Source organism: Homo sapiens, chromosome 1 (genome assembly GCF_000001405.40).
Source record: "Homo sapiens chromosome 1, GRCh38.p14 Primary Assembly".
In the NCBI taxonomy this organism is placed as follows: Eukaryota; Metazoa; Chordata; class Mammalia; order Primates; family Hominidae; genus Homo; species Homo sapiens.
The window spans coordinates 246,125,310-246,135,174 of record NC_000001.11 but is presented as its reverse complement, the minus strand read 5'-3'; the positions used below and the strand labels follow the sequence as shown (position 1 = coordinate 246,135,174).

General features: G+C 36.2%; 1 protein-coding gene across 13 annotated transcripts in view; it reads left to right on the top strand.

Annotated features, from left to right (window-relative positions):
• Nucleotides 1-9,865, top strand: part of SMYD3 (SET and MYND domain containing 3) — a 757,933-nt gene that overhangs the window by 372,105 nt on the left and 375,963 nt on the right. The window lies entirely within an intron of this gene.

The following is a 9,865-nucleotide window of genomic DNA, read 5'->3' as shown; positions in this document are numbered from 1 at the left end:
GTAGATGACTGAATCACTGTAGCTCTTCAGCATATTGTAACAGAAAAAGAGCCAGTTTTTGAATTTTTATGAGCATGTTATAGTTTTAAATAATGTGATTTTCCTGAACTGTAATATTGATGTAATTCTAAGTCAGAGAAGCTGTTTTGCATTTCCAGCTCTTCCTGCCTACTTCAGCACTAACCAAGGTACCAAACAGCAGCCTCTTCAGCATATATGCTAAGTTTTTTTTTTTTTTTTAGCTTGACTGGGAACATTTTCTTGGGGATGTAATTTTAGTTTGGTGTGATATGCAAACAAGCACACTTTAAAAATAGATATTATTTAGCATTGAAGTGGAAATTAAAAATGAGTCATTAAAAGCGGCAGGGGGGGGAAGAAAATGTGGTCAATCAATTTCAGTTGCATATAGGTGTAGATGCAAATGGAAAGCTGCATGGTTATTTAACCCTCTAAAAGTCAGAGGGTCTTATGTCTCCTGTTCAGAGATGCTGCTTATATTTAAATAATATGATGGACATTTGGGAATAGACTAGTGGTTCTTAACTTCTTTTGATTCACAGATTCTTTTGAGAAACTGTGGAAAGCTAAGCACATGTATGTACAGATATAAAATTTGCATATTATTTCAATGGATTCATGGATTCTGAAGCATATTCTGCTAGGGGCATATAAATAGTATGTGTTAATTTATGTGATGAAAATCATGGGTATATAATTTAAATTTAGTGTATAAAATTTATAAATTATCTAGATTACTTATGAATCATATACATGATCTAGCTGAATTGAATACATAAGTGTTTATTATAAGGCATTTAATAAACATATATAAAATGCCTTATATAGAAAGCTGCATTTTAAATTATGTTGAAGTGGAGCTTAGGTTGGAATAGACTTTGGGAGTACTATTTATAAAAGAGAATATTTCCAAGTAAGGCTATTCCTCCTGAAATGTCAGTCATAGGCCACTTCTAGAAGAAAAGGTGGGAAAATAAAAACATTTTCTTAATGTAATACAGCAGGTGACAAAGTGAGCTGACATGCTTATGAAGCTAGGTGTAGGCGATGTGATATATAAAGGAAAATTAAAATGTCATCTTATCTGAAGGTTCACTAGTCATTTCCCCGGGCTGTCTTTAGCCTGTGCATGGAAATAGGTTCTTCTGGTCCAGATACAATGCACTTTTAATTAGTTGACCATAACAAGAATACATTTCTTTTGAAGTGCTTTTAGCTTAAAGATGGAAGTGGTTTAATATGGAGTTCTAAAATGAAATGTTAGGGTATAATTTTAATTATATAAATAGTAGCTACAACAGTGTCATTTGCTGGCTCAGCTGTGGCTATTATAAAATAGTGAAATGTTTTCAAGCTTTTTTTTGACAGTAGTTGAGTTCATTGAGCGTGTGTGCATTCAGCTCGCTTGCACATGTGTTCTCCCTCTTTCTCCTTCTTCTTATAAAATAATATAAAAGCTGGCATTTCCTTAAGAAGATGTTTCTCCTGATGCACTTTAATAAAGCCACACCCCTGCTTCCGTTAGTATCAGCCAATCGTGATGACATATATCAAGAAGATAGTTGCTGGTGAGGTAAGCAGTGCAACAGGCCCCTTTGGCCCTTCTTTTCCTGTACATTCTTAACTAAGGAAAACTATATTAAAAACTGAAGGAACAATGAGATACTATCATTAGATAATAAGTTTAACAACACTCAGGTCTTTAGAAGTATTTATTTATTTACTTTTTCAGGTTTTTCATTGAGTAAAGTGTGGAGATTTGTTATGGGAAACATTCTCATCCTTTCCCAACTTGGTGGGAATTGGACCAATAGATGTTTTCAGTAACTTCACGAGCCTGGGAGTGGAATCTTATGATGTTCTGCTTTTCCCTCAGTCATGCCGTGGGTTCATTTAAATGACAAGCTTTGGGAAAGTTATTCAATCAAATGTTCAGTTGTTCAAACTTGAGTTTTGAGAGTTCTTTATATATTCTAGATACTATACTAGATACTATTCAGTTCTTTTGGATGCATACCCATAAATGGGATTGCTGGATAATATGGTAATTATTTTTATGTTTTTTTAAGAAATGCCATACTGTTTTTTGTAGTTTTTATTATAGCACCTTTCATATTTCCACCAGCAGTACCCAAGGGTTTCAGTTTCTCTGCATCCTTGCCGCCATTTCTTCTTTTCTGTTTATTTGATAGTAGCCATCCTAGTGAATGTGAAGTGGCAACCTCATTATGGCTTCAATATGCATTTCCCTAATGACTAATGATGGTGAACATCATTTCATGTGATTGTTGGCAATTTGTAATTCTTCTTTGGAGAAATATCTGTTTGAGTCCTTTCCCCATTTTAAAAATTGGGTTTTTCCTTTTTTGTTGTTGAGTTTTGGAGTTATCCATATATTCTGGATATTATACCCTGACCAGATAAATGATTTGCAAGTATTTTCTCCCATTCTATGGATTGCTTTTTCACAATGTTGATTGTGTTCTTTGATACATAGCAGTTTTAATTTTGATGTAGCCCACTTTTTCTACTTTTACTTTTGTTGCCTGTGTTTTGTATCATACCTGAGTAATCATTGCTCAAGCCAATGCCATGAAGACTTCCTTTATGTTTCTCCTGAGAGTTTTATAGTTTTAGGTCTTTTGTTTAGGTGCTTTAATTTTTGTATATGGTGTAACGTAAGCATCCAACTTCATTCTTTTGCATGTAGATAAACAGTTTTAACAAGAGCATTTGTCAAAAAGACTGTCCTTTCCTCCATTGAATGGTCTTAGCACTCTTGTTAAAGATTATTTGACCATATAGTTTTCTAATCCATGTACATGGATTGTTTTTTTCATAACCCAATTAATTTTTTAAAAACATAAATTCAGAACCTGGAATTTAATCTGGATGAATGTAATCTTGTTTGTTTAGGCCCGTCTTCCAATCTGATGAGTTTCTTGTAAAGCTTTTTTAAATATATAAATTTAATATATACACTACTTCTCCCAATTTTTTGTCATCTCTAAATTTGGTAAGCATGCCTTTTATGATCTCAGCCAAGTCGCCGATGGGCATGTTTAGTAGAATTGTCCCAATTCCAGGACTTAATAACAGCCCATTAGAGATAGTGCTAAAAATTGAATTTCAACATTCATTTTTCAGTCTATACTGTTTGGGTGTGTTGCAAACATAACTGATATCATTCCCCTGTGCTTCTTCATTGTGCTCAGAAGGACATCAAGAATTTCTCATTTAAACATTATAGTCTTTTTCTGACCTTCAGCCTTATAACCATATAAAAAAGGGAAAATATTTAGTTTCATATAAAGTATTTTAATGAAAATGTTCTGTCTTTAATTGGTCATTGTCTTCATATGTGTTCATCATTGTTTAATAACCAGTTCTAGACTTCTCCGGAAATTTATGTCAGACTTTATCATTGCATAAATCATAAAATTGTGGTTCAAACTCACCTTTTTAAAGAAACAATTTGTGTAGTCAGGAGGGGAATATTTCAATAGACAAAAGACAATCAGTAAGAGTTATAGCCGAAATTTATGTTCTGTCTCTCAATGTGCCCCGCACAGTGTTGGGAATGTATAATACATCTCAGATCATTTTGGGTTGACTATGAAGTAACGGAAATGTATATTCTTTCCTTGTTATTATCATGGTAGAGCAGGCATGGTCAGCCTTATGAATAAGAACCTAAGGTTCTTCTAAGTGAAAGTGCAGGCACTCAAAGTCCTGTCTTTGACTCAACATTTCACCCTTATTCCTTCTTACTGATTGACTGATTGGATGTTTACATGATTCATTCATTCTTTCATTTAGCAAACATTTCCTGAGCCACCACCATGTACACAGTGTTTTGTTATAATAATCTGGAATTAAACACGACAAGACCTTTGATCTCACACAATAGAGGGAAATAGGGCAATGGAGGCAACCCCCTATAATACTAATCATGATAAGATAAAATGTATGTGTGTTGGGAATGCAAAGGAAGACATAAGTAATTATGACTGTGAGAACTGGAAATGTCTTCATGGGAAAAGTAGAACATGTGCTGATTTTAAATTTCAGCAGCAGCCAAGTGGAGGGAATGAGGAAGCCACACAAGGAAGGTTCCTGAGCCCATGGAAAGGACTTTATCTGCTTCTAGTCCTTGGAGCATAGAGTGTGTGTAGTGTACAGGACTAGGAGTGTTAAGACGAGGTTTGATTGTGGGGTTGCTTCAGTGCTCTAGTATGAAGTTTGGACGTTATTCTCTATTAAGTAAAGAGCTGTTTAAAGTTTCCAAGTAGGAGAATGAAATGATTATGACGATTTAGAACGATAATTCTTGTTCATGGCATGAAATATAGATTAGAGAGTCAAGACTGGAAGGAAGGAGCCCAACTCTCAAGCCAGTGCAATAGTTCAGGCAGGAGAAAGGAAATACAAAATTGGTCTCTTACAAAAAGGTCAGAACTGTCTGGAGTGCAATGAGTGGCATGTAACTACTGCTTTTAATCCAAACAGCATTTTCTTTTTGTGATTAGGGAGACATTAAAATTCTTTGTTATATAACGAGAATAAAAATTGGATTTTTGAAAACAAAAATGCCCTGTTTTTACTTAAGGTTTCTAGCTTCTTTTTGAATGATAAATATAGGTTGTAATTTTCTTTCACTGATGCAGTTTTTAATTTTAAAAGGGTAGTCACTCTATAAGAATCAGCATGTTTTAGCATAAATGGTCTTCCTGTGAGAGACAGTCAATCTGAGCTACCTGTATTTTAATTTAAATATTTTGGTTTTTGGGAGACATAAAATGGATTCAGGGCTTATAAATGGGAGCTCAAGTGTTTATAACACTGAAAATATGGAGGCCTGGGAACTTCATGAAAAGTTGGACAACCCTAAATGATCTTAGTGATAATTTTGTCTACATATTAAACGTTAAAACTTTCATCCTAAATTGTAGCCTCTCAAGGTGAAGAGTTCCCTCCATTTATGATGGGATGAATTCTATGATGATAGAAAAATTGAACATATAAGTTTTTCTCCTGATGACTTGCTGTGGTCACCTGCCTCTGGGGAACCTGTTTTCTGAGGATATTCTTTCCAATATTGTACTTGCAACTCATTCTGAAATTATGGAATTAGTATTGTTAGTTTCCTCTTCTCTCTGCCTTTAAACAGAAGTAGACATAGCTACAGTTATATATTTGACTTGGCAGAATTTTCAGTTTTCAAAATGCCTGCTATGAAGGGCATGGTAAGGAAGTATTTTTTGCTGTGGGATCATGATTGTTTCTATGCACAAATTTAGTGAGTACACTCTTTGCTTGACTAGCTAACAAGTGCTATGGGCTTATATCCATTTTTCAGTCTTTAAAAAAAAAGAGAAAGAAATGTGTTCAGAACTTTCTCAACTCGATGGGGAAATTATTCATGTTACGTGAACAGACGAGTCCTCTCCATGGCAGCCTCTTTCATGTAACCTCTAGTGAGTTTTTACTTTCCTTATGTGTACAAGCTCTTTATTCAGGTTTGATTAAATGGCAAAACAATAGCTGTGGACTGTCTTGGTTCCCTTTGGGCTACTTTGAATAGTGAACATGCAGCAGAAGATGCCAGGAGTCAAAGGAAATGGCGCTGAATGTCGAAAGGTCAGTCCCTCAAAGATAGTTTCACCAAATGAGAAAATAGAAACTCTCACAAAAAAGCTGAGGTCAACCATGCTTTACTCTATTCTTAATTTCTACTTTTTTTTTTTTTACTGTATTTGATGAATAAATTTCCTTTTACCTCATGTAATGTTTAGGTGTAAATCTTTCATTGTTGTAAAGGTGTTAAGTCAACAATTACCTATTAAAGCTTTCATGACCCCAAAATTGAACTATTCAGAAATACAAGTGCATTAAGACATTATTTTTAAAGGCTTAATTTTTTTTAGAGCAGTTTTAGTTTCATAGCAAAATTGAGAGATTTTGAAGACACAAAGATTCCCCATCTGTCCCCTGCCTGCACCTTGTCTTCCATCTTGCATATTTTTTGAAGGATCGCAATGAACAAGAATGGGATCAACAGTGGGGAGGGCCACACACCTGTAATCCTAGCACGTTTGGAGGCCGAGGTGCGCAGATCGCTGGAGCCCTGGAGTTCGAGACTAGCTTGAGTAACATGGCAAAACCCCGAAAAATACAAAAAAATTAGCAGGGTGTGGTGGTGTGTGCTTGTAGTTCCAGCTACTTGGGAGGCTGAGGTGGGAGGATCACCTGAGCTGGGGAAAGTTGAGGCTGCAGTGAGCTGTGATCGCACCACTGCACTCCAGCCTGGGCAACAGAGTGAGACCCCATCTCAAAGCAAAACAAAACAAAACCAAAAAAGCACACAACACACACACACGCACAATGGAGCTGACTAATCCAGATACTCCTTTCACCCCCTAAAGGGAGAAAAAGAGTATCTGAGCTCTACTGAGTTTCTGTTGTGGCGAGTATGGAACTTTGAAGTCAGACTGCCTGGGCTTGAGGGCCAGCCCCACTGCTCACTGGCTGTACCATGTAGAACAGCTGTTGTACTCTCTCTAAATCCCAGTTTGTTCATCTATGAACTGAGGATTCATAATATTTACCTTGCAGGCTTTTATAATAAAAATTAAATAAGATTTCTATGTAAAGCACTTATCAATGTGCCTGGCCCATAGAAAGCACTCAGTAAATGGTATGTGCTATTGTTCATTCTTTCCACAAATACATACTGGTTAACTTACCCTGTTCCAGACACTTTTCAGCATGCTGGACTGTATAGTGAACAGTTCCTCCCCTCATAGAAATATATTCTAGAGGTAGGAGGCAACTATAACCATAATAAATGAGCAAATTACTTTGTATGCTAGAAACTGGTAAGAGCTATGAAATAAAACTGAACATCGTAATAGAGATGGGGAGGAGGAGTGCAGGAATTGGGGCAACTTGCAGTTTTACATAGAAAGTCACATTAGGCCTCGTGGAGAAGACAACATTTCAACAGTGACTTGGAGGTATTTGATTGTTATTGTTACTACCAAGTAGGATTTTGTTCTACCAAACAGGGCTTTGCTTTACGCCTACATTTCTACCCTTACTGCATTTTGTAAAAGTTGATGATAATAATAAATGCATACTTAATACTAATAATTAAAATAGTAATACTGGAAATTATAATCTATGTTTACACTCATTTTAGCTATATAATCTCCTCTCCTTTTCGTATTTTTCTTTTCTTTTCTTTTCTTTTCTTTTTGAGACAGAGTCTTGCTCTGTCTCCCAGGCTAGAGCACAGGGGCGTGATCGTGGCTCACTGCAACCTCCGCCTCCCAGGTTCAAGTGATTCTCCTGCCTCAGCTTCCTGAGTAGCTGGGATTACAGGCACGCGCTATCATGCCTGGCTAATTTTTGTATTTTTAGTAGAGATGGGGTTTCGTTATGTTGGCTAGGCTGCTCTTGAACTCCTGACCTCAGGTGATCCACCCGCCTCAGCCCCGCAAAGTGCTGAGATTACAGGCGTGATTCACCGCACCCAGCCTCCTTTTCATATTTCACTCATTTCCACTGCAGTGAGTTTAGGGATTAGACCAGTAAGGAAATTAGTTCTTTTTGCTTACAGACAACAGAAATAGAAGAAAACAAACTAGAAATTAGCTCCTTAAAAACAAAATACTAAAACAAAATACAGAATTCTTCTACAGGATTTCTCAACTATCTTTTGTCTACTTTATCCAACTTTCCAATGCAGTATCATCACACTAAAATGCTAGTATTTCTGAAAATACTTGGGCTCATCTTTGTTGAAGTTATTGACAAAAAAGTTCTCACCTTTTCTGTGAATGAGAAATATTGAGGTGTTTATGCAGTCTATGGTTTGGTGCTGCAGTTGACTCAGGTTGGCATGGGAACTGGTGCCTTGTGACCGCTTACAATAACCAAGCATCCTCAAAGAACAGGAAAAGCTGCCCTTTCAGAGTTCTATATGGCATTAATCTGTATTTCTCTCTTCTAATCATGAGCAAATGATATTTTCCTTTACAGAGCTAGCATCACCTTTTGGTACTTTTGCACTTTACCTTCCTGTGTAGATACATTGGAATCCGCTCTCTACGGTTTCTCTGTGCATCCAAAGCAGTGGTTACTAACCCTATTAGATTCAGTGCTGCATCTTTGTAATGTGTTTTGGAATATCCCCTTCATTTCTGAAATGAAATGTATTAATAATATAACTGCCTCTACACATAAATTTAAGTATTAAAATAGTGTTACAATTTTAATATAAAGAAAAGAGAAAGATAGCTTTCAGTGCATTTTATTATGTAAATGCTTACTTGTTGACTATTCCTGGAGATAAAATGATGTCATCAGATGTTTGGACCTACTTGCAATGAATATATTTGGATTAAAGAGGAGTAAAACAACATTCAACTGAGTATTGGCAAAAGCTTTTCTTTCTATTTGAAGCTTTGAAATAAGGAGTAAATAAGTATACACATAAACATACATAGAATCCTATAAATGTAACATCTGTGTATGTAGATTGATGCCTGGTTATTGTGTTGGTGATTGAAATGCCATGAATTGTCGACATGATTTTTCACAATGATGAACAACTCTTGGTACAATTGCAAACAAAACAAAGTATAATTCCTCTTCAATTTACATTTAAGGATGTTGCATTCCTTGATAATTCAGTGACTACTAAACAGTGCAAGAAACACTTGTGTCTGTAAGTAAAATACAGTTAGGCTCTATATTCAAAGAAGTAACAGGATTTTCTCACCTACCGGCAAGTCTGGTGGAACATCTGAAAGACTTGGAGGATACTGGGTAATTATTTGTTATCTAAGGCTGTCCTGTCTAGCAGGCCTGGCTACAGTCTACCACATGCCATTGTGACAATTGAAAATACTGAAAATGGTCCCTAGTACCCCCAGTGAGAACCACTGATCTAAAGCTCCTTTGCAGTGCTCATGCCCAGATGGGGATCCTGTCCAAGCTGCAGTGCTGTGTTGCTCCATGATTTAGCTTGGCACGGCACTGCGCTGTGTGTAAGTAATGCTTCTTAGTGCTCTGGAATTATTCTGCTTGAAGCACTTTCCAGATGGCTGGCTGATAGCTTCTGGGGATACTGAAATGCTGTTCCGATGGTTTCTAACCCTCTAGTCTCTTCCTTCCAATACATCTTATAGATTCCTCAAAGTTTGTTGTGTATAAAATGGATACAGTGGATAGGTAGTTGCCACTCCTTTTTACTACTACTCGAATTACAAATTATGTTTTCTTGGTGGTGATGTTTCATTGATGGACTGATTGCTTGATTGGCTGTTTTCCTCTCTGTCGTTATCTAAGGTTCATAGCCATATTGCCCATATTTGTCTGTTATTCAGGATCCCTCTCACCACTTCTGATCGTCATCACATCCCTCTTGTTTTTGCCATTGCCATTCTTTCTTTTATTCCTCTTAGCTTTACCAAAGGGTCTTTTATTATATGTTACCACTCCATCGAAGTATGTCTTTCCTTCGAGCTCATAAATCGTGGTCCTCAGCTGAACTTTAAAAACTGTTCTATACTCAGTAGATTACTTTTAAAATATTAAATAGCTAAAAATTTTAAATTTTATTTGTTTATTCCTCTTTAGTTTATCTATATCAAAGTGAAGAGGTATCTGAAAGACCTGGTTTCTAGAAATCTCAAGTTTCTTTGTCATAGAAACTTGTCATACATAGTATGGTTACCCCATTTACCACATAGGTACAGTGGGATTTTGTCTGAGGAATTTGAATGTGGCATAACAGGCAATAAAGAGCCAGTGCATATTCTTCAGATAAAATTAACAT